Source organism: Homo sapiens, chromosome 7 (genome assembly GCF_000001405.40).
Source record: "Homo sapiens chromosome 7, GRCh38.p14 Primary Assembly".
In the NCBI taxonomy this organism is placed as follows: Eukaryota; Metazoa; Chordata; class Mammalia; order Primates; family Hominidae; genus Homo; species Homo sapiens.
In genome coordinates, this window is record NC_000007.14 from 11540327 (window position 1) to 11566032 (window position 25706).

Sequence of the window (25706 nt, forward strand, 5' to 3'; positions counted from 1 at the left end):
ATAGCAGTGTCTGTCAGTCTCCCACACCAGAGAGTGTCTTTCTTTACGACTGAACAGTGACTGAGTCACAGGAGGAAACAATTCTGCTTACTGGAAGAAAATAGGATGGAAAGAATTATGACGGTTACCAGATGTTCCAGTACCCCCAAGGGGGCACCAGGGTGTTTCTGCACATGCTGTAAACAGCATAAACTGTCAACTGTTGGACCCTGGGGTTTAGCACTCATGCTTCTCTGATGTGCAGAGTCATAGGATTCAAGAGATAGAGCAACCTTAGAGATGATCTTGTCCAGAGGTTTTAAAGTATGTCTGGGGGAGTCTTGTGGTTTTCAAGTGTGACTCAGGGATGACTTAGAGGTAAGGAGTTCTCCCCAAAACAGTAGCAGTACTCTTTGGAAGGAAGGTAAAAATCTTATATCAGAGCTAACATCAAGACAGTATATTTTATCAAACAAATATTAGTTGTAAAAGTCCAAGGTAATTCCTGAGGTTGGGGAAAAGAATCTTGCGGAAAGCCACTATCCAGTGGCTCTAGGACATTCCTAAATAGTGGAGCCCTAGAGAGCAAAAGGTCGGTTCAGGAACTCTAGGCTGTGGTAGGCCTCGTGGATTGGGAGCCTGGAAATTAAATGATAACACTAAGACACGATATCAGGGAGGTTAAAGGAAAATACTTTTAGAGTCAAATCAAACAATGCTTACAACCCTTTTTTGTTTACATTTCATTTTCTATAACACTGGAGCTATAGACTTTTTTAAAAAAGTCACTTAAAAAAGTTACCTTTACTTGTTATTGTTAAATTTGGCAATTATTGCCCTAATGATAATTCAATTCTTATGTTATATGATCTGTTCTGTTTTCACATTTAACATTATTTTGTTACTATTCATGGATCCTTCCCACTGCCACCATTTCATTAGAACAAAAGAGAAAGAGACAGGGAAAGAGAGGGAGGGAGAGAGAAGCAGCTATTTCTACGTTTGTAAACAGAATCAGTTATAATGCGAGAAGACACAGGATTTTAACAGAAAGTAAAAACATATATGCAGGGTTGGACATCCATAAAAACATAATAGATACGTCTGTCTTACCATCACTGTTGATGCACACAACCTCTTGAACTTGCGTGCCTGGACCACACTCCTTTCCGTTATCTGGCTCGCAGTTTCCCAGTCTCACTGCTTTCCAGTCATAACAGGCAGGCTCTTCACAGGGAATGGCTTCCAGTAAGTGAGGGCAGTTTCCGGTTACCCCAGAGCCTCCAGTGGGCTCATTGGTAATGCGCCGCTTCCTCAGTTTGAAGCCTGAATTATGGGGGAAGGAAAAATCTATTGTTACTATCAAAGGTTTAGTATTTCAGAAAGTTGAATAAAACCTCAGAGTAAAAGTTGGATAAGAGTGGAGGTAGAAGTCATTTCTGTTTTGAGTCACTGGTGTATCCCCAAACTGTAGCTAATGTGAGGTCATGAACCATCCATTAAATGAGTGAGTGGATTAACGAATGGAATGAAAAAAAATGAGAACCTTTGGTTTTAGCTTACTACTGCAAAGGTAAGGCTAGAAATGTCATATAGTACCCATCTCCCTTGTAGGGCGTAGAGGAGTAGGGTGGGAACAGAGAGAGAGATAAATTTTGGTCAACTTGGAAAGTCTGTAGCTATAGAATATTCAAAGAAGGAGTGAAATTTCAAGCTATTTAGAAATACCGATGACCAGACAAAAGTGCTATTATTCTTAAATCTTCAGCAATGTCACATGATTAAATTTGGAAAATGAACCTCTAAGAAGTTGGATGGTTCCAGAGAAACAATCTCTTTGAGGTTCAGTTGATTTTAGACCCTCTGGAAATTTGAATTAGGAACATAAGCCATGTGGGCTCCAGTGTGAAATATTCAAAGTCCTGCTTTGTGCTTTAATAGCACCTAAATGCTGCCCTTCATGAGAGTGTGTAACAAAATTAACAAGTCTGTTTATTGCTATGTAAACATACTAGAATCACTAGAAGACTGGTCTTTGAAACAAAATTGAAAAATGTTTTCAATCATGAGATCATGTGAAAATTAGCTCACCACGTCTACCATAAGAAAACCATTGCATTTATTCTATTCCTCTATCATTTGCATATGAAAGTAATACAGTTTTTACATTTTTTTCTTCAAAGTAATAAGCAGCCTTATTATTGGGCACTAGGTATGGGTCAGGCACTGAACTAAGTGCTTTATGTTTATCTGATTGACTGCTTAGAGACAATCTGGATGGCAGATATTGTTACATCCCTTTTACAGATAAGGGGACAAAGGTTTAGATATGTTAGTTAACTTATCTAAACAGTAAGGGACACAGTAGATTTTCCAATCCAGGCCTGACCCCACAGCTCATCCTAACCATTGCACTAAACTGTCTCAGATCCTCTCCATCATGTTGTCTAAATTAACAAGCATTTATGCCTATGTTCTTCTGTTTTAATCTTCTGGTACTATCACTGGAGAAGGTTAATTCATCTTTTGAAATTAATAGTCTTTAGCCATTCTGGAAAATACCACAAACAAGGAACACAGAAGAGCATTTTAAAAATAATTCATGATTTGATACAATTGGTGGGTATAAAAGGCATGTCATGGTCACGTTACCTACCTTTTTTCCCTTGCTGATCATTACAGTTTTCATAAGTACAAGGTCCCCAAGCTGACCAAGGTGAAACTTCACATTCAGTTGGACAAGGAATGTGGCACAGCTGTGTAGTATTAGGGATAGGTCCAGTGCATAATTTTAAGTCCATTGGCTTTGAGGCTAGAGAAAAATACAGACACATATTAAAAAATGAACAAAAGGAACATATATGGCCAACAATATGATTTTTCTGTGTGTATGGAAAAGGAAAATCCTTAAAGAAGTGCTACCAAGACATTATTCCAATGCTTCTCAGCCACATCCTGAGAATAAAAAGAGAACGAATGGAAATAAAAGAGGCAATAAAGTGTAGTCAAAGGAAACTGGAGATGTCTTGCAAATTGTTTGATTACCAGTTTTACCATTAATTGGTCATGCAATTAATAATGCTGAATATAACTTTCCTAGTCTGCAAAATATTCCTTAAGGTTAGATCTAAAATTCTATAGCAATATTCTAAGAAAGTAAAAGAAAACTTCAGAGGACTGAACAAAAATAGGAGGGGGACTATAGCTTCAACATATATGAAAAAAATGTCCACTGAGTAGTTCCTGGTGGAGAACTCTCCCATCTCTTTTGGTTCACCGGGATTGAGAGGTAGCAGGTGAGATGAAGAAGGATCTCAAATGGGGGCTACTCTCTGTACCCCCCAGCTACAGTGCTCACTGAATTATTTCCAAAATGTCTAAATAATAACACATTATCTGCATATGTGACACAAATCTAGTAATCACTAAGGATGCTAATTTATAATTATCTACATTTGTTCATAATTTGACCAATAAACTGTGGATAAATGTTGCTTGTCCTTGTTTTTTTGTTTTTTTTATGCCTGCAGTTTGGCTCTTTTGTATATACTTGACAGTTAAGGTCAATATATATCCATAGTTCTGGACATAGAACTAACTAAAAATGACTAAGTGATGAAGATATGTAAAACTATATGGACAGAGGAAGAGAATCAAGTTTAGCTGTATAATATCTGTCTATCTATCTATATAATATCTGTCTGTCTATCTCCTGATGCCATATTTGCTTTTGTTTTAAAAAAAAATCTAATACATGGCCAGGCACGGTGGTTCATGCCTGTAATCCCAGCATTTTGGGAGGACGAGGTGGGCAGATCACGAGGTCAAGAGCTAGAGACCATCCAGGCCAGCATGGTGAAACCCCGTCTCTACTAAAAATACAAAAATTAGCTGGGCGTGGTGGTGCACACCTGTAGTCCCAGCTACTTGGGAGGCTGAGGCAAGAGAATCACTTGAACCTGGGAGGCAGAGGTTGCAGGGAGCTGAAATCATGCCACTGCACTCCAGCCTGGCAACAGAGCGAGACACAGTCGGAAAAAAAAAAAGTCATTTTCTTGGTCACACATTTCCTGAATAATAGCTAGTTCCAGTTCCTTTATCACTCTCATGATTGGGTGAGCCCACACTTGCAGAAAAAATGACTTAAATAATGGATGCTTAGCTATTTCTCATTCTCCTGTGTGAAAGGACTATCAAATTCCAATTGCATAGGATTGCATGCAGAAGCTCACAGAGAAATTAAAAAAATTTAAACTACATTTTCCTAACTTTTAAATGAAAGTACTATGTCTGTTTGTAATTTAAACTTGAAGACAAATTGTAAGCACTTTTACATCCTATAAGTTTTCACACACACGAGCACACAGTCATAAATGCTATCTAAAGCCTATGACATTGATTCCTCTTACTACCACAGTTTTTGTTCTGAAAAATATTCTGCCAATTTTATGTCTGCTTTTCTCTACTAGTAGTGCTTATCTCTCTCTCCACATCTCCCCCGCCTCCCCACCCCCACCACTCCCACACTCGCCACTACAGTGAAAATAAATAACTGGGCACTAATTGGCTTAGTATGAGCACAGTGAGCATTCTCACTCGAGTTCAACAGGATTGCTGTTTATGTGCATCACAACAGCAGCCGAAGCCAAAAATGATTAATTTCATTGCTTTCCAGGAGCAGAAGTGTTCAGCACACTAATGACATAAAATATAGAAATTAAAAGCTTCACTCTCTGAATATAAAAAACTTGACACCAATGATACACATTTCATATAAAAATGGATTCTTTTAAAGACATGTATAGGCAGAAGAGTCTATACTATGTAGCAAATTAGCTGCAAATTAACATAAGTAATGATTTTTACTTATGGAAACTTTCGGAGTATCTAATTTAAAATGAGAGGTTTTGGGTAGAAGACCTTAAAATCTCCATTTTTTCCTTCAATTGATGAAAAGTCATTTTAAATCTTGGTGCTACTATATTGTTTTTGAAATAATAATTTATATAAAATAAAATTTACTGGGTATGAAATTGTGAGGAATCTTATTAGAGTCTGAATTTATTTTATATATAAAGTTGAAAACTTTAGGAAGCAAACATTGTTTTATTAAGAAAACAGGTTAAGCAAGATGGCTGACAGGAAGAGCTTCTCCCACCAAGTGACCAGACCATTAAGAAGACCTGCACCCTCCAAGCAGATCTTCAGAAGGATGGCATTGAAGGTGGACAGAGGGAGAACATAGAACCTGGGCTAAAAGAAGAGGAAGCTGGGAACTCTGCACTGGGCTACTGAGCATCAAGATCCATTCCTGGCCCTGAGGGGCTCCTGGGAAAGGGGTGAATTAAACAGGCATGGAATGGCCCACTCTTGCCATGGACCCCAGAATCCTAGCTGCAGGGGAACCCACTCCTCAACAGACATTTGAGTTTGCAGAGAGAGCTTATTGGAGAGTTATCAGGGGCAGGTCTCTAATATGTGCAGAATCCAGAGCGTTTGGCACAGAAATAGCTGCAGAAGAGCATGGCCAAAGATGTCCTTCTCCCAAGGCTCACCACACTCTTCAAGATGGCTTTGGCCTTTGTTGACTGTAGGACATGAACAGAGCATAGCTTTCTTCCCCATGGCACAAGCCCAGTCTGATCTCAGCACCCCCTATCTTCCAGCCCGTCCCAGGGTAACTGCCTGGCCTTGTACACTTGCAGTACAATCTCAGATGCCCAATGAGGGTGCTTTCCAGCAGCTGCTACTGTAGCTCCTTCATTGGTAGGTACCACCATTAGAGAGCTTCTGCAGATGGACCCTCCCCAGCATGCTCCTGCCTGCAGCCTTCCCCAACCATTGTGCCAGGGCCCACCACCCTGTTGCTGCTCTGTTGTTGCTGGTGTGGGCGCGCGCTCACACACACACACACACACACACACACGTGGACCCTGCCACACTGCTGCCCTGTAGTTGATGGCATGCATGCCCAAGTGTGGACCCCATTGTCACCACCCCAATGTAGTGCTTTTGCCAGCACCCTCCATCAGAGTGTTGCTGCTAGCTGACTAGGAACACCTCAGCCCTTGCAGTACAGCAGGTGCTTAACCTTGAGGGGCCAGAGAACAAAGCCATAGGCCTGGTCCCAGGTCCCCAGTGTACTGAGCTGAGCCTGGGCCACCTGAAATCACCCGGAAATGAAGCCAGTTGACTGAACCCAATTTATAACACTGTCAAACCCTCAAGGACATCAAAGAATATAAAAGCAATAAGCCACATTCAACAGACAGCAGTTTCAAAGATTTAAGGAACATCAGCCCATACAGATGAGAGAAAAACCAGCACAAGAACTGTGAGAACTTAAAAAGCCACAGTGCCTTATTACATTCAAATGACTGCACTAGTTCCCCAGCACTGGTTTTAAACCAGGCTGAAAAGGCTAAAATGACAGAGATGGAATTCAGAGTCTGGATGGCAATGAAGATCACTGAGATTCAGGAGAAAGTTGAAACCCGATCCAAGAAATCTAAGGAATCCAGTAAAAAGATGAAATAGCTTTTTTAAGAAAAAAAACAAACTGATCTAATAGATCTGAAAAACTCACTATAAGAATTTCATAACACAATTGAAAGTATTAACAGCAGAATAGACCAAGCTAATGAAGAAATTTCAGAGCTTGAAGAGTGGTTCTTCAAATCAAATCAGACAGACAAAAATAATGTAAACAAATTAAAAAAGTGAAATAAGGAATTATGTGAAATATGGGATTATGTGAAGAGACTAAACCTATGACTCACTGGCATCTCTGAAAGGGAGTAAGGAAATTCATTACCACCAGACCTGCCTTACAAGAGGTCCTTAAGGGAGTGCTAAACATGGAAATGAAAGACTGTTACTGACCACCACAAAAACACACTTAAGTACACAGATTATTGACACTATAAAGCAACTACAAAAACAAATCTAGACAACAACTAGCCAATATAATGACAGAATAAAATCTTCACATATCAATATTAACCTTGAATATAAATAGGCTAAACACTCCACTTAAAAGGCACAGAGTGATAAGTTGGATAAAGAAACAAAACCCAACTGTACGCTATCTTAAGAGACCATATCACATGCAATGACGCTCATAGGCTCAAAGTAAAAGGATGGAGAAAACTAACAGATATCTGGGACCTAAACTTCACGCTTGATCAAATGAAACTAGCAGACCTCCACAGAACATTCCATCTAACAACAACAGAATATACATTCTTCTCATCTGTGCACAGCACATACTCTAAAATTGACCATATGCTTGAACATAAAGCAATTCTTAACAAATTCAAAAAAATAAAAATAAAAAACCAAATCATATCAACCACCCTCTCAGACCACAGCACAATAAATACAGAAGTTAATACTAAGATGATCTCTCAAAAGCATACAATTACATGGAAATTAAAGCAACCTTCTTCTGAATGACTTTTGGGTAATCAATGAGATTTAGGCACAAATAAAGAAATTCTTTGAAATTAATGAAAACAAACATACAACATACCAGACTTTCTGGGACACAGCTAAAGCAGTGTTAAGAAAGTTTACAATACTAAATGCTCACATCAAAAAATTAGAAAATTCTCAAATTAACAACATGAAATCACACTTAGAGGAACTAGAAAAACAAGAGGAAAGTGACACCAAAGCCAGCAGTAGACAAGAAATAACCAAAAACAAAGCTGTGCTTTCCAAAACAGTGTAATAAAAACCCACAAGCAAAACAATGACCAAACTAAAAGCTGGCTTGACAGAATAAATAAGATTGATAGATTGCTAGCTAGACTAATAAAGAAAAAAGAGAGAAGATCCTATTAAACACAGTAAGAAATGACAAAGGTGACATAACCAGTGACCCCACAGAAATACAAAATACCCTCAGAGACTATTATGATACCTCTATGCACACAACCTAGAAAACTTATAAGAAATGGATAAATTCCTAAAAATATACAACCTCCAAAAATTGAACCAGGAAAAAACTGAAACCCTGAACAGACACATAACAAGTTCTAAAGTTGAAACAGTAATAAAAAACCCTTACCAACCACAAAAGGGCTTGGAGTAGACAGACTCACAGTTGAATTCTACCATATATATATAAAGAAGAGCTAGTACTGATCCTACTAAAACTATTCCAAAAAATTAAGAAAGAAACCCTCCTTAACTCATTCTATGAGGCTAGCATCATTCCGATACCAAAACCTGGCAGAGACACAACAACAAAAAAGAAAACTTTAGGCCAATATCCCTGATGAACATAGATGCAAAAATCCTCAAAAATTACAAGCTAACCAAATCCAGTAACACATCAGAAAGCTGAACCACCACAATCAAGTTGGCTTTATTCCTGGGACAAAAGGTTGGTTCAATATACACAAATAAATATGATTCATCATATAAACAACTAAAAACAAAAATCACATGATTATCTCAATAGACGCAGAAAAGTCTTTTGACTCAGCATCACTTCATGTTAAAAACCATCAACAAACTATGTGTCAGAGGAAAATACCTAAAAAAAAAAGCCATCTATGACAAACACACAACCAATATTATACCAAATGGACAAAAGCTGTAAGTATTCACCTTGAGAACTGGAACAAGACAAGAATACCCACTTGAGTGAACAGACAACCTACACAATAGGAGAAAAGTTTTGCAATCTATCCATCTGACAAAGGTCTAATATCCAGAATCTACAAGGAACTTAAATTTAAAAGAAAAAAAACCCCATTAAAAAGTGGGAAAGGGCATGAAAAGACACTTCTCAAAAGAAGACACTCATGCAGCCAACAAACATAACAAAAGTTTAACATCACTGATCATTAGAGAAACGCAAATTAAAACCACAATGAGATATCATCTCATGTCAGTCAGAATGGCTATTACTAAAAAGTCAAGAAACAATACATGCTGGCAAGGTTGTGGAGAAATAGGAATGCTTTTACACTGTTTGTGTAATGTAAATTACACAAATTACATTTCACTGTTTGTGAAAAGTAAATTAGTTCAGCCATTGTGGAAGACAGTGTGGTGATTCCTCAGAGATTTAGAACTAGAAATACCATTTGACCCAACAATCCCTTTACTGGGTATATACCCAGATGAATATAAATCATCCTATTATAAAGATATATGCATGCTCATGTTCATTGCAGCACTATTCACAATAGCAAAGACATGGAATCAACCCAAATGCCCATCAATGATAGACTGGATAAAGAAAATCTCATACGTATACATTATGGAATACTATGTAGCCATTAAAAGGAATGAGATCATGTCTTTGAAGGGACATGGATGGAGCTGGAAGCCATTATTCTCAGCAAACTAACACAGGAAAAGAAAACCAATTACTTCATGTTTTCACTTATAAGTAGAAGCTGAACAATGAGGACACAGGGAGGGGAACAACATACACTAGGGCCTGTTGGGGGAGTGTGGTTGGGGGGAGCATCAGGAAAAATATCTAATATATGTTGGGCTTGATACCTAGGTGATGGGTTGACAGGTGCAGCAAATCACCATGGCACACATTTGCCTATGTAATGAACCTGCACATCCTACACATGTACCCCAGAACTTAAAACAAACAAATGAATGCCCACTCTCACCACTCCTATTCAAAATAGTACTGGAAGTTCTAGCCAGTGAAATCAGGCAAGAGAAAGAAATAAAAGGCATCCAAATAGGAAGAGATAAGGTAAAACTATCTCTCTTCACAGATGATATGCTTTTATACCTAGAAAACCCCGTAATCTCTGCCCAAAGGCTCCCAGACCTGATAAGACACTTCAGCAAACTATCAGGATACAAAATCAATGTATGAAATTCAGCAGAATATCCATACACCAATAACATCCAAGATGAAAGCCAAATCAGGAATGCAATCCCATTCACAATAGCCACCAAGAGAATAAAATACCTAGGAACACAGCTAACCAGGGAGTGAAAGATCTCTAGAATGAGAGTTACAAAACACTGCTCAAAGAAACCAGAAGTGACACAAATAAATGGAAAAACATTCTATGCTCTTGAATAGTGACATGGTTTTTTTCTGTGTCCCCACCCAAATCTCATCTCAAATTGTAATCCCACATGTCAAGGGAGGGACCTGGCAGGAGGCGAGTGGATCATGGGGGCACTTCCCCCATGCTATTCTCATGATAGTGAGTTCTCACAATATCTGGTGGTTTCGAAGTGACACTTTTCCCTTTGCTCTCTCTTTCCTGCCATCTTGTGAAGAAGGTGCTTGCTTCTCCTTTGCCTTCTGCCATGATTGTAAGTTTCTTGAGGCCTTCCCAGCGATGTGGAACTGTGAGTCTATTAAACCTCATTTCTTTAAAAATTACCCAGTCCCAAGTAGTTCTTTATATCAATGTGAAAATGAACTAATTCAGATAGGAAGAAGTAATATTATTGAAGTGGCCATTCTGCCCAAAACAATTTACAGATCCAGTTCTATTCCTATCAAACCACCAATGACATTTTTCACAGAATTAGAATAACTCTTCTGAAATTAATATGGAACTGAAAAGTAGCCTGAATAGCCAAAGCAACCCTAAGCAAAAAGAACAAAGCCAGAGGCATCACACTCCCCACTTCAAACTGTACTACAAGGCTGTAGTAACCAAAACAGCACGGTACTGATTCAAAAACAGACACATAAATCAATGGAACAGATTAGTGATTCCAGAAACAAAGTCACACACTTATAGCCATCTGATCTTCAAAAAGGTCAACAAAAACCAATACGGAAAGGACTCCTGATTCAATAAGTTATCCTAGGATAACTGGCTAGTCATATGCTGAAAATTGAAACTCTACCCCTTCCTTTCACCATATATGAAAATCAACTCAAGATGGAGTAAAGACTTAAATGTAAAATCTAATACTATAAAACTCTAGAAGAAAACCTAGGAAATACCATTCTGGACATAGGCCCCAGCAAAGATTTCATGACGAAGACCCCAAAATCATTTGCCACAAAAAGAAAAATTGACAAATGAGACCTAATTAAACTAAAGAGCTACTTCTGCACAGCAAAAGAAACTATCCACTGAGTAAACAGATAACTTACAAAGTGAGAGAAAATATTGCAAAGTATGCATCTGACAAAGGTCTAATATCCTGAATCTATAAGGAACTTAAACAAATTAACAAAAAATAAACAACCCCATTAAAGAATGGGCAAACTATAATACATGAATAGACATTTTTCAAAAGAAGACATACACATGGCCAACAAACATATGAAAAATTGCTCAACATCACTATTCATCAGAGACAATCAAATCAAAACCATGAGATAACCATCTCACACCAGTCAGAATGGCTACTATTAAAAAGTCAAAAAATAACAGAAGCTGGCAAGGTTTCTAAGAAAAGAGAACACTTATACACTGCCAGTGGGAATGTAAATTAGTTCAGCCACTGTGGAAAGCATTCTGGAGATTTCTCAAAGAACTTAAAACAACTACCATTTGACCCAGCCATCCTACTACTGGGTATATACCCAAAGGAAAATACATCAGTTTACCATAAAGACATATGCATGCATATGTTCATCACAGAACTATTCAAAACAGCAAAAACATGGAATCAACCTAGATGCCCATCAACAGTGAACTGGATAAAGAAAATGTGGTACAAAAAAAGAAAGAAATCATGTCCTTTGCAGCAACATGGATGGACCTGGAGGCCATTATCCTTATTCAAATTACTGCAGGAACAGAAAACCAAATACTGCATGTTCTCACTTACAAGTGGAAGCTGATAAACATGAACACAAAGTAGGGAAAAACAGACATCAGGGCCTACCTGAGGGTGTAAGGTGGGAAGAGGGTGAGGATTGAGGATTGAAAAACGACCTATTGAGTACTATGCTCATTACCTGGGTGATGAAATCTATACACTAACCCCCATGACTCCCCATTTACCCATGTAACAAACCTGTACATATATCCCTGAACTTAAAAGTTAGAAAAAAAATACACACACACTCCCAACCCCTAATTTAAACAAGTAAAAAAAGGAAACAGGTTAAAACATTGTGCTTTTACTTCGTGGCCGTTTTTTAAAAAATAAGTTTTATTTTAGCTTTTGGTGTATTTTCAATAAATTAAATAGAATAATCAGCCACAAAATTTTGAGCTACAAAAAGGGAAATGTGATAAATAAAGGCTCAAGGAAGTATTGATACAGGAGTTAAGAAAAAATTACTTAGGCAGATAGTGAGGGTACAGAAGTCCTTGGTAAGGTTTCCATTTTAATGAAAAGCAGCCCCACATCATTTTCCTTTTTAACAAAGAACAGCCTGTAAAATTGAGCTGCAGTCATAGAAGCTGGTAGTTGTGCCAATCATGTTTAAAATGGCAACCCCACCTTCCCTTGTCTTTATGAGCCACATACGTGTACAGTAAGGAACAGACAAGATGGTACCGATCAACAGGAGAGTTCATTTGCATAATAAGATTAGGGCTGAGCAGCCAGCCTTCCCATAAGCTATGTAAACATCATACCTAATCAAACCAATCTGTGAGTCCTATGTAAATCAGACACCGCCTCCTCAAACCTGACTATAAAATCCAGCACATCCCCCTCCCTCGGGTCTTTTCTGCTCAGACACCCTTCTCTCTCTCTAGAGAGGGAGATGTTTCTCTTTCTCTTCTCTTCTGCCTATTGAATCTCCACTCCAAAACTCTGCATTTGTGTCTGTGTCCTAAATTTTCCTGGCACGAGACAAATCCCAGGGTATATACCCCAGACAACATAGCTGCTTCAGTATTGCTGAAACAAAGCCTTCTTGAGGTTTGCTCAGCTGCTAAGCGCACCAAATCAACACTGACATAATTGTCAAAGAATGATTTCTACTTAACAGTTGTCCCTATGTATACATAAGCTTTTTTTCATTAATCAAGGAAACAGGGAAGAATACCTGCTATGTATAATTCTATTCCTTTGGTGATTTTCATTATAGGTTTTCTTGAAATAGAGTACATATTAATTGTAAATCACAGATCTTACCTGAGTTCCTCAAAAACTGTAAGACGATTACATTTCTGCAATTGCCCAAGAGTTATTTGGAATCAGTGTAATTCAGTGAATGAAGTAAAGGACAGACCTAGGAAAAATTACTGGATTTCAGTTTATACTGAGATTTCTATTTTCTAGAATGGCCCAGTTCTTACTCTTGTATAATTTACTATTTAAGAAATGGTTCTTCAGCCAATACAAACTCCAGAGAAATACATATTAAACTTTAAGAAGACTTCTTTTTGATTTCTCAGAATAATGGAGAAATTTTATTGTTCTTAATTTAAAGAGGATTCAAATGAATGTATATTCCATGCTTCACAAGGTCACAAAAGAATGTCTAAACTTTCTGAAGTTTCCAAAACAAATTTAAAAAATGAGGCTGATGCATTTCTGTGGTTCTGAAATATTCTTGTTTTGAATGTTTATGGTTCCGAAATATTCTTGTGTTTTGAATGTTTAAGCTCTACAAATGGAAAAAAATAAAAATAATCTCAACACTTCTTTTTCTATCAAGATGGCCAATGAAGTATTCTGAAGATACACATACTATATAACCTCTAAAGATAGTTTATATATCTTATAAATTATATCTATAATTTTTAAATTAAATGTTTTGAGGTAATTGTAGATTGATATGAAATTGTAATTTGACAGCTTCTACATATACTTTATCCAGTTTCTCCCATAGGCAAGATTGTATAAACATAGTACAATATTACAGCCAGAATATTGATATTATTACAATCAATGTACTTTGGTTGTATAGTGTTCCTGCAAACTTAATGTCTACCAGAATCTCAGAATATATCCTTATTCAGAAATAAGGCCTTTGCAAACGTAATTAGTTGATGAGGTCTTACCGGATTAAGGTGAGCCCTAAATCCAATGGGTGGTGTCCTTATGAGAAGGCCATGTGAAGGCATACAGAGAAGTACCATGCTTAACGAAGACAGAGTTTGGAATGATGCAGCTACAAGCCAAGGAACACCAAGGATTGCCAGTAGACCATTTGTTCCAGTGTTAGGGAACAAGCATTCAGTCTTTTACCATTAAGTATAATGTTAGCTATAGGTTTTCCTAGGTGTTATTAAGATGAGGATGTTCTTCTCTATTCCTATTTTTTTCTGAGAGTTTATTATGAATGGATGCTAAATTTTGTTAAATAGCTTTTGCTGTATTGATTATGTTTTTAGTCTGTTAAATTGGTGAATTACATTGACTAACTTTTTAATATTGGAGTAGGCTTGCATCCTTGAATAAACTGCATTTGGTCTTATATTTTAATTATTTTTATATATTGCTGAATTCTACTTGCTAATATCTGTTAGGGATTTTTGTCTATGTATGAGGCATTTTGGTCTGTATTTTTCTTTTTGGTGAACTGTCAGTGCCTTTGTTGCCTCTTTTTTTCTGTGTAGAAATGCTCTATTTCATATTAGATGAGTTGTGGTAGGTTGCAATTTATTTTGATTTTTTTATTCTTCCCATGTAGTCTAAGTTGTCAAATTTATGTGTATCAGGTTGTCTGAGGTATTCCATGGCTATCCTTTTGATGTCTGTAAAGTGTGTAGTGACATTTCCCTATTTCATTCCTGGTGTTGGTGATTTGTGTTTTTTCTTTTTTCTTTTATCACCCTTGCTAGAGGTTTAATGATCTATTGAATGAACCAGCTGTTTGTTTTATTGGTTTTTCTCTATTTTTTATTTTCAATTTCATTGATTTCTGTTCTTATGTTTATTATTTACTTCTTTCCTTCTTGCTTTCAACTCATTTCACTCCCATTTTTCTTGGTTCTCTAGATGGGAGCTTTGATTATTGATTTGTGTCTTATCCTCTTTTCCAATGTAAGCATTTGGTGTTACAAATGTCTATCTCAGCACTGCTTTAGCTATGCCTCACAGATTTTGATATATTTTCTTTTCATCCAGTATTTTGATTTTCCTTGAGAATTCCTCTTTCACACATTGATTGTTTAGAAGTGTGTTGTTTTCCAAGTGTTTGGAGATTTTACTCCTATCTTTTTTGATTGAATTCTAATTTGATTCCATTGTGCTCAGAGAACACTCTATAAATTATTTTACATTTGTTGAACTATGTTTTATGGATGATGACATGGTCTATTTTGGTATATGTTTCACTTGAAAGAAGGTGAATTCTGCTGTTGTTGGATGGAGTAATTATAATAATCCCTTTTAGATTTTATTGGTTGATGGTACTGAGTTCTTCCGTATTTTTGCTGATTTTCGTCCTAATTATTCTATGAAGTGTTGGGAGTAAGGTATTGTCATTTCCAACTACAATTATCTATTTGTCAATTACAGTTTTGTCTATTTCTCCTTTCAGTTCTATCAGTTTTTGTTCATATATTTTGCAGTCTGTTGTTTGGCACAAACACATAGAATTCCTTTGCCTTCTTGGTGGATTGACTCTTTTGTCATTATATAATTATATAATATCTTTCTCTGTCTCTGGTAATTTTCTTTGCTTTGATGCCTAATTTATTCGATGTTATCATAGCCACTCCTGCTTCCATTGAATAACATTTTCATGACACACAGTTTCTCATTATTTTACTTTAAACCTGCATATAACATTATATTTGAAGTGAGTTTCTTGTAGAATGTGAATAGTTGGGTCCTGCTTCTTAAATCTGCTCTACCAATCTGTGTTTTAATTAGTATACTTAGACTATTTACATTTAATGTAGTTATTTATATGTTATGGACTAAGTCTTCTATTTATTTTTATTTATTCATTTCTGTTTCATTTTCCCTGTCTTCCTGTGAGTTAACACATTTTAGAATACCATTTTGATTTATCTACAGTGTTTTTGAGTGCATGTCCTTCTATAGCTCTTTTAGTGTTTGCTGTAGATATTACATTACATATATATGTCATATATATGGGTGTGTATGTGTATATGTGTATATATGTACATATATATACAAGATATACTATATATATATATCTTATCACAGCCTACTGATATTTTCATTTTGCTAGTTCAACTAAAGTATAGAAATCTTACCCTCCCTCATTTGTAATAAATTGTTTTAAATATATCGTCTACGTATTTTTAGAATCATATCAGGTAGCAGTGTTATAATTTTTGTTTCAACTGTCAAATATAATTTAGAAAACTCAAGTGAAGAAAAGCCTATTGTATTTAGCTATACTTTGTTTACCCGCTCTTTCTCCTTTCCTGATATTCCAAGGTTTCTTCCTTTAATCTTTCGTTTTTATTTAGTGAACTTTCTTTAGCTATTCTTTTAGGGTAAGTCTACTGGTAACAACTTCTCTTAGTTTTCCTTCATTAAGAATGTCATTATTTTTCCTTCATTCTTGAAAGATATTTTCTCTGAGTATTGAATTGCAAGTTGACAGTTCTTTTCCTCTAGCACTTGAAAAATATGGTAGTACTTTATTCTGACCTATATGGTTTCTGGTTCACTGTCACTCAAATTTCTTTTTCTTGTAGTAAGGTTATCAATTTTCTCTGGATGCTTTCAAATACTTTTATCTTTCGTTTTCAGATTTTTATTATAATATGTCTTGGCATGTATTTCTTCAGGTTTAACTTATTTGGAATTCATCCAGCTTCTTGAATCTGTAGGTTTATGCTTCTTACAACATATGAGAAGTGTTCAGCCATTATTTCTCTGAATACATTTTTTTTCTTTTAAGCTCTGCCCTCTTTCTCCTCTTCTTCTGGAATTCCAATGACATGAATGTTAGATCTTTTGTTACAGTCCCACAGGTCTCTGAAATACTTTTAGTTTTCTTCCCTCATATTTTTTTCTGTGTTGTTCGGATTAGGTAATTTTGATTATTCTGTATTTTAGTTCTTTGATTCTTTCCTCTCTCCCCTCCATTATGCTGTTAGACCCGTATACAGAGTTTTTATATCTGTTATTGCATTTTTCAGATCTGCAGTTTCTACTTGGTTCTTTTTTACATCTTCAATTAATTTGCTGAAGATTTCTATTTGTTTCAAACATGCTCATAACTGTTGAAAGATTTTCATCATGGCTTCCTTATATCTTGTTGGATAATTCTAACATCTTCATCATCTCAGTGTTGGCTGCTATTTATTTATTTTTTTCGTTGAATCTGGTAACTCCCTGGTTCTTGGCATAAGGAGTGACTTTGATTGAAACCCAGACATTTTTGCCTCATGTCACAAGACTCTAGATCTTTTAAAATCCTTTTCTTCTTTCTAACTGGCTTTTTATGACCCTGCTCCAGAATGGCAAAAGGGTGTATGTATGCCACATTGTTACTGCAAGGTGAAGGCAGAAGTCCAGGTTTCTTATTTAACCTCCATTGATAACAAAGAGGAACTTCTAGTTACTTTTATGTGGCTGTGTGTACTGGTTGCCTAATTGTCTTCACTAACATTGTGGGGGTGGGGAGTGCTTTACCAGATAGCAACTAGCAGTGATGGAAGTGTCAGTTCCCTACTTGGCCTTCTCTAACACCACCTAGTGGGAGTGTTGAGCGACTCATTACAGTATCACAAGGGTGAAAACTGAGGTTCCCATCACGACTTTGCTGATATGGGTGAGGGTATGGCCATGTTATTTTTGTGTGTTTTTGGCTGGGTAGAGTGGTTATTGTCTAAAATTTTGTGTCTTGCTAAGTTGGTCTTTTATTTGTCCTTTGGCTAGAAAGAGCAGGAATTTGTTAGGGTTTTTACAAATCTGTGTCCACTGATGTTTCCGTGTTGTTGGCTTCTTTAGCTCCAACCTTGAGATGTGGGAGGCAAAAAGAAAACCAAGGGAACTAATCACCTTGTCATTTTGGGCCTTGACATATCTAGCTTATCTGCCTTCTTCTCTCCAACTTTCAAAGTCTTTTTATGGTTTGTTTTCTATACAACTTCCAGGGAATATTTTTTAATTTAGTGGCAACTACAGGAAAAAGTACATCTCCTTTATCTTTTTGAAAGTAAAAGTCTGTGTCTTATTTTAAAAATAAAGCCTTTTATTATACAACTGGGATAATAAGAAAAATCCTCAGAGGATCCCCAAAATCTACAACATAAATCCGATCTACTATAGTACCACAGTCCTAAATCTGGCCTCTCTCCTGGTGAACTACTAATCCCAAGTCACAGAACTTTCTGTTTTAATGGGCTACTGGGAAACCTAGAATTGCATATCCAGGGATCTTTAATTATTAGGGGCAAAGGAAACCATTTTCAGACAGAAAATGAAAGTATTACTATACTAGACCATAATTAAAGAAATTTCTAAAGAACTTATGTCTCATAAAAAAGAAAGTGATCACAAAACTAGGGTCTAAAATTTCAGAGAGAATAGTGGTCAGAGAAAATATCAAATAGGAGTAAAATTAAGCATTGATTGTAAAATAATAATTGGAAAAGTGTGAAAGGCAGAATGGTCACTCAAAAGTTCTATGCCTTAATCCTTGGAACCTGTGAATGTGTTATCTTACTTAGCAAAAGGGACTCCACAGATGTGATTAAAGGTTTAAAACTTGAGATGGGGAAAGTAACCTAGAATATCCAGGTGGACCCAATCTACTTACATTATTACTTAAAAGGAGAGAAGCTTCTCGAGTGCGTTAGAAAGATGAGATGGAAGAAAAAGGAGTGGAGAGATATCCAAGCATAAAAGGTACTTGATATGCCATTGCTGGCTTTGGGGAAAGAGGCCAGGAGCCAAGGGATGTGGGTGATTCCTAGAAGCTGGGAACAGTCTCCAGCTCACAATCAGGAAGGAGATGAAGATCTCAGTCTTTGAACTCGAAGGAACTGAATTCTGCCAACACTCTGAATGAGCAAGCACACAGCTCCTCCCCTAGAGCCTCCAGAAAGAAATGGAACCCTGTCAGCTCCTTGATTTTAGCTTGGAGAGATGCATGCCAGACCTCTGACTTACAGAACTGTATGATAAGGTGTGAAGTTAGTGGAAATTTGTTATGGAGGCAGTAGAAAACTAATACACACAGTTATAAATAATTGCAAGATAGAAGACCTAAAATAGAAGACTATGTAAGTTGGTGGAGGGTTATAAGAGTAAAATATTCTTAGGAAGGTAAATACATTAATTACAAACTATATTCATTTGCAACTCCACCTTAAAATTTTAAGGTAATCCATACATATACATATATATAAATCCATATATATATATATAAATCCATATATGTATAGGATAAGGATGTATGACTTGTGAAACATGGGAAGTAGTGTAATAACAAAACTGTTGCAATAAATTTTAAGAAAGGCAAGAAAGGAGAAGTGAAGAAAGTAGAAGAAAGAGAATAAAAAAAGATGGAAGAATTGATTGCAAAAGGCTAAAATTAACCACTAACGGTCACATTATCAACTGAATAGGAAACTAAAAACTAAAATGGCACATCCACTAGTTTGTCAAAACATTTTAAAGTTTGATAACACTAAGTGCTGGAGAAGACATAAAGCAGCTAAAACAGACACTGCTGGTGGGAATTTAAGTTGTTTTGATCAAAATGTAAAATAATTTGGAATATTCTAGTATGATTGAAAAGATGTGCATACTTCTAGGTATATCCCATGGAAAACTATCAGACATTTATCTGAGAGATATTTATAAGAATGGTTATTGTATAATAGTATTGTTTATAATAGCAAGTATCTAGAAACAACTCATGTCCAATTAAAAGAGAAGAGGTATTGAATAACGTTATGTCAAAACTATACAGAGGTGGAAATAAGCTAGAGCATAATCACCAATATAAAATCCACATACATGTCATCAGAAAGTGAAAAAGCAAGCCGAAGAATATATTTTTTAATGATACCATTCATATAAAGCTTTATTTTATTTTTTTGAAAATGCAGTATCATAAGGTTTTGGGATAAATGCATAAGTCTGAGAAAGAGGAAAGCAGTCATGAATATCAGGGACCTGGCCTGACACTTTCAGCTAGGCCTGATGCTTTTAGGGGCTGGCCTGGCACTCACACCTATGACATGGTTCCTGTTTAACATGAACAACTTCATAGGGCAGCACATCACATATTCTGTGACTATGATGGAGTGAGACAAAAAATAAGACTATAAAATTTGTCTAAGCAAAAACAAGGTCACTGTGAGAGCCCTGAAATATCAAATCTTTCCTTCTACCAGCTAATATAAATGAGTTCTGCTTCTTTACCAATTATAGCTTTAGTCTCCTTCCAGTTTTTTCGCCTTCCAGATAAGGTTTATTTAGATACCCAGTCGTAGAATTATTCTTGCTCCCTTATAGCATGCAACCCATGCAAAGCCCATTTATTGAAACTCCTTAAAAATAATCTAACACATTATTTATAATGTCATTTCTGATATCCTTACTGAGATGCCCATGGTTGCATTCTCCCCAGCTCCACTGAGTAACAAACCCAACTTGCTCAACTACGGGTGTGTTCCTGGTGGTTTGTGGCTGAAAAGCATTGACAAGTCAAATATATAAAGAAAAACAAGGAATTACAAACAAAAGTTTAGAAGAGGGTTTCCACTTGTGAATGGAGATGTAATTTATTTAATAACAAATGGATGATGGTGTTTGCTACATGCCAGGAAATGTCACACTGTTCCAAGTACTTAACAGATACTAAGTTATTTAATTCTTATAAAACCCATGAGGTAGGTATTCCAGTTATCCCCATATAGGGCAACCGAGTATGAAGTTGCCCTCAATTACATAGCTGAGAAAGTATAGATTTCAGATTCACATCCAAGCAGTCTGGCTCCATAGTCTTCAGTGTGTATGTACCTCTAATTACTACTCCATGTAATCTTGGAAGGGTACATGACAGGGTTTCAATAATATATGTCTAGCTAAATACACAGGCACACACATATGCATATTTATTTAATATAGGTCATAATTAAAAATACATTTAATGAGGGTTGTTAATATAATGTCATGTAGTAACATAATATGATTGAGGCTATCAAGATAATCACATATCAAACCTAGTGGTCTATCAATGAAAATTATTCTGACTTCTGTGCCGCAGTGAGAAATGGAAACTAAATTTTCCTTCTGCTAGATACCAATAACTACCTGTCTAATTAAATTATTATTAAAATGGGATATTCTGCACTTATACTGATAACAGTAAGCACTTACATGGCATTTACTAAAGAAATTATTTTAGTCCTCACAGAAATCTCATGAAGTAGGCACAACTGTAATCCACATTTAAGAATTAAGAAACTGAGGCCAGGTGTGTTGGCTCAGACCTGTAATCCCAACAACTTGTGAGGCCAAGGCGGGTGGATTACTTGAGGCTAGGAGTTCAAGGCCAGCCTGGCCAAATGGCAAAACCCCAACTCTACTAAAAATACAAAAATTAGCCGGGCATGGTGGCACACTTGGGAGGCTGAGGCACAAGAATTGCTTGAACCTGGGAGGCAGAGGTTGCAGTGAGGGAGGTCACAGCACTGCATTCCAGCTTGGGCAACAGAGCAACTCTGTGTCAAAAAATAAAATAAAATAAATAAGAAACTGATGCTCAAAAAGATTAAGTAATTTTCCCAAGGTCACACAGTTAATTAGCAACAGTTCAAAGCTGACTTACCCACTATGCTACACTTTAATATGGCAGTTAGTAGAAGACATGTTCTTCCCCCAGTTCCCACCCAACTCCTGGAAGTCTAGTACAGGGAATAGTTTGACTAGAATGATATAAGTTTTCAAAACAGACTATTTGGTTATTTTATGTGGACCAGTGCAGAATCTGGTAGAGATATTCATCTGAAAATGAATCCCCAGTATTTTACTTAAAAAGCAATTTATATTCTCATCCATTTTAAATATCTAATCTTTCAAAGCTAAATCATTTTTGTTCTAAGGCTCTCAAATGTACAAATGTACATTTTTAAAATTTTTCTAAATCATAAAAATATATCTTTGAATTCTCAGACTATTTTGAATCAGAGATCTCACACAGTCTACTTCAGACTAATTTGAATAATGATATACATTTTCTGTATTCATTCAAAAGATATACTGGTGCTCAAAGGTTGAGAAAAATGCAATAAATTTAATAATTCATTCATCCATTTAGCAAAACAGCTGAGCATTTCAGGCACTCAAAACCTCCTGATACGTATTTTTTTTTCCATTGTCATCCCTGTAAATCTACCTTTTTCTTAAATTAGCATTTTATTTCCTTAAACGAACTTATTTGATTGCTAATTCACAAATACAAGGAAATTCTCTTGGATTTAAACCTTCATTTCTGTATAGGAACTGACAAAACTTTATTACTAAATATAAGGATGCTTGATAACAAGAGATTCCAAAGACCGACAAATAAAATTAGTTACAAATGGCTTTCTGTTCCCTTTTTATTTTTTTTAAATTTTTTTCAGTAAGTTAAAATAAATATTAAGTGCTTACTCTTTGCAACTCCCTGCCATTATGTTAGGCATTACATGCCAAAGGGTGTTTTGGTGCCATTGGCACTAGTGGTGCGTTTTTGATGTTTTGTTTTTACTGTTTTGTCCTTCTGAGTTACTACAAGTGTGTGGTAGTAATTTCAGGTATATTTTACCAAAGCAGTTTTAATTTCAAGAAGGTTCTATGGATGATTTGCTCAAAGCTTACTTAGACCTTAGCTAGAGTCACTAAAAATTCACGCAGTAATTGGCGTCAAGCAAATAAAGAAAGCTTTTATCCTGAAAATTAATCAAATTCAATGTTACCAGTGATTGCTCAAAGCTTTTTGGAGATGTTCCTGTACTAAACTTGAATCATAGAAGTTTATTTCCTCTTGTCTTTCTCAGCCTGGTTAATATAATGGTGACATAAACCCCATCATACTTAAAAAAAATTTATAACACATTGTTTTCAAAGCTCATACATTTATTCCTCAATCAATTTTGAGCCATATTTAAAATAATGCTTGAGAATTATCTTTTGGTATTTAATGCGCTTCAAAGCTCCCTGCCAGTCCTTTTTAGCTACGATAACTCATTATTAAGTTTATTTTATTTTTTATTTTTGAGACGGAGTGTCCCTCTGTTTCCCAGGTTGGAGTGCAGTGGCGTGATCTCAGCTCACTGCAACCTCCGCCTCTTGGGTTCAAGAGATTCTCCTGCCTCATCCTCCTGAGTAGCTGGGATTACAGGTACACACCACCATGTCTGGCTGATTTTTGTATTTTTTTAGTAGAGACAGGGTTTCACCATGTTGGCCAGGCTGGTTTCAAACTCTTGACCTCAGGTGATCCGCCCTCCTCAGCCTTCCAAAGTGCTGGGACAAGAGGCATGAGCCACGATGCCCAGCCACTGAGTTATGGTTTTTGATTAGTCTTTTGTTCTTTTAAACCAAGACATTATATAATTTAGGAAGCATACATGAATTGTACTTGAGTTCATTTTCTATATCATAATCAATATCTTCAGTATCCAATCAACTACTCTGTGCAGTTCATGAATTGATAGCCATTATTTTCATCCCTGGCCATCCTGCTTGATCATAGATCGCATCCTCTTTGCACGTGTTCATGCTTGCTGCTTGGATAATCTCTTGAATTGTGGTGAGGTCACAAATCATATTTTTAAAAAGTGTTTTTTCTTACACTAGACTATTTCAGAGCTAAGCTGTTCATTGGAGCGGTCACTGTCTTTGGAATTAGAACATTTTTACATAAACCTGTTGACTTTTCTGTTTATTCTTTTGGAGTTAGAGAAGGTCTAGGCTTGGTCTATTTTGGTTTACAATCGAGTGAAAGATACACTGTATACATTATATAAATTTAGATAAGGTTCTTTCCAAATATTTGAAAAAAGGACGTTTTAGGTCCAGACTGAAACCTGAAGAGCATTCCTTTTTCTTTTCTCCTCAGCTTTATATTCTAGTTTTAACTTCCCAATTATGGGTGTCGAAAACACTGCTGGTGAGGAGGGAGTTATCACGTGGACACTAACAGTGTTGTAACAGATAGGGACAGATCTCCAAGAAAGCCTTCTCCTCTACATAAAGGACTGAGCCCACCTTGCAGCTGGTCTGCTGCCTGAATGCTGCGTGTCAGCAAGTTAGGAGGATATTTGAGCGATGGGTCCTGACTGCCCTTGCCTTCAGTCTTCACTCTTCCAAGCTAGGATGCCAGTGAGCCTTGCCAGGGTCCCTTCCTAATTCTCTTACAAATATTACTCAGTCTCACAGGGGTTGCTGCTTTGCCTTGGTGTCTGTTCCTCCAGTCTTATATAAATACCATCTTAGCAGACAGAAACTCCTCCCAGGGTCTAGAGTCTAGATGGGCTGTCTCCTGATTTCAAGGACAGGTATAGGGTTTTCCCTATTTGTATATTCACTGGCCATTTTAGGGAATTATAGAGAAAGGTCCATATGTCTATGCCCACGATGCCATATTTCCTAGAAAATCACTCCTCATGTCATGACTCAAATAAAATACAACTGTGCTATTTTTAAATTATTTATAGAAATAAACATATGTCAGATAATTTCTCTCACTGACCTTGTTTCGTGTAAGATAAGAACACTTAAAAATAGTGGGATTGTTCAAAATATACATTTTTCTAACAATTTCATCATTGTTAGAATTTAAATTTCACAAATTGTATCAACAGCTTGTTGGGGATATGACTCTTCTACTATGGGGATGTACCATCTGTTGCAACACTGCAAATATGGAGAGTCTGTCTTTCCATTTTTTCTAAATAGGACATGTTGTAGAATAGTGTACATAGAACTCATACTGAACTCTTCCAGCATACCGTTATTGACTCAAATTCTCACGATGTCCCTAACAACAAAAACAGCATTAACTGATACTGTAAATTAAAATAAGCAGTCTGGAATATGTATGTTATCCAAAATATAATAACAAAACTGTAGCATTTAGAATTTGTGAAATCATAATCCTTGTTTCAAAGTAAGTACTGAAGAAGAATTTGAGTATCTAATCAAAAAAGTTCTGCAAACAGCTCCACACATTTGCTGAGCAACTCCAAATATAATTATTTATCACAAAAAAATCCACAGACTGTCGCTTAAACACAAGAGTGACAGCCAGACTTCAGATTTAAAATGATGCTCTGTTGTCATGCGAAGAATTGATTGTGCAGGGCAAGGAACACAAGGTTACCTGTTAGGAGACTATTCCAATAATACAGGCAAGAAACAGTGGCTTGGACTGGAAGATGATAGTGGAAGTGAAGGGGTCAGATAAATATTGAAAGCAGAGTCAGGAAAATTTTCTAAGGAAATGGTTGTGGGGGTTAGAGAGAGAAGAATCAAGTATGGCTCCAAAGATTTTGGTCTAAGCAAGCAATATCTGGCTCTTGGTTGTCATCACATCGTTTCCTCTTGTTCTAGAACCCCTAGACCATGATAAGTCTATTTTCTCACACTGCTTTTTAGTTGATCAGAGTCCTTTGCTACATACAAAATTGCAAGTGACAGCAATCACCCCAATTCCTCCTCCTTGTACCTCCATTCCTGCCTTGCTTCACTCCACCTACAACGAATCCACCTGTTCCTGCAGTTGCCAACTGAATTGGCAGGTCTGAATTAAACTGCTGGGTTTGACATTTAAAAAATGGAGTTTTCAGTACTTCTGGGTTCTCCTTTTATTAGGCTAAGCATGAAGGCTGCTAATATTCACCCCACTCATCGCAAGACACATGATATCT

The 25706-nt window shown here is 36.5% G+C and overlaps 1 protein-coding gene across 6 annotated transcripts in view, besides 1 other annotated feature; it reads right to left on the minus strand.

The window, feature by feature from the left end:
- The window catches only part of THSD7A (thrombospondin type 1 domain containing 7A), a 461834-nt gene that overhangs the window by 169962 nt on the left and 266166 nt on the right, over positions 1 to 25706 (minus strand). For all 6 annotated transcript variants that reach the window (XM_006715662.2, XM_006715660.2, XM_006715659.2 and 3 more), the window contains 2 exons: positions 2636 to 2791; positions 1093 to 1305 (listed from right to left, as the gene is read on the minus strand). In XM_006715662.2, the coding sequence (XP_006715725.1) occupies positions 1093 to 1305; positions 2636 to 2791 (369 nt within the window). The remainder of the gene's footprint in view (positions 1 to 1092; positions 1306 to 2635; positions 2792 to 25706) is intronic.
- Positions 17453 to 17552: a silencer, noted in NCBI's record as "silent region_17976". NCBI's record gives its function as "represses an Ori minimal core promoter by ATAC-STARR-seq in GM12878 lymphoblastoid cells {active_cell/tissue: GM12878}" and the evidence as "EXISTENCE:reporter gene assay evidence [ECO:0000049][PMID:35858748]".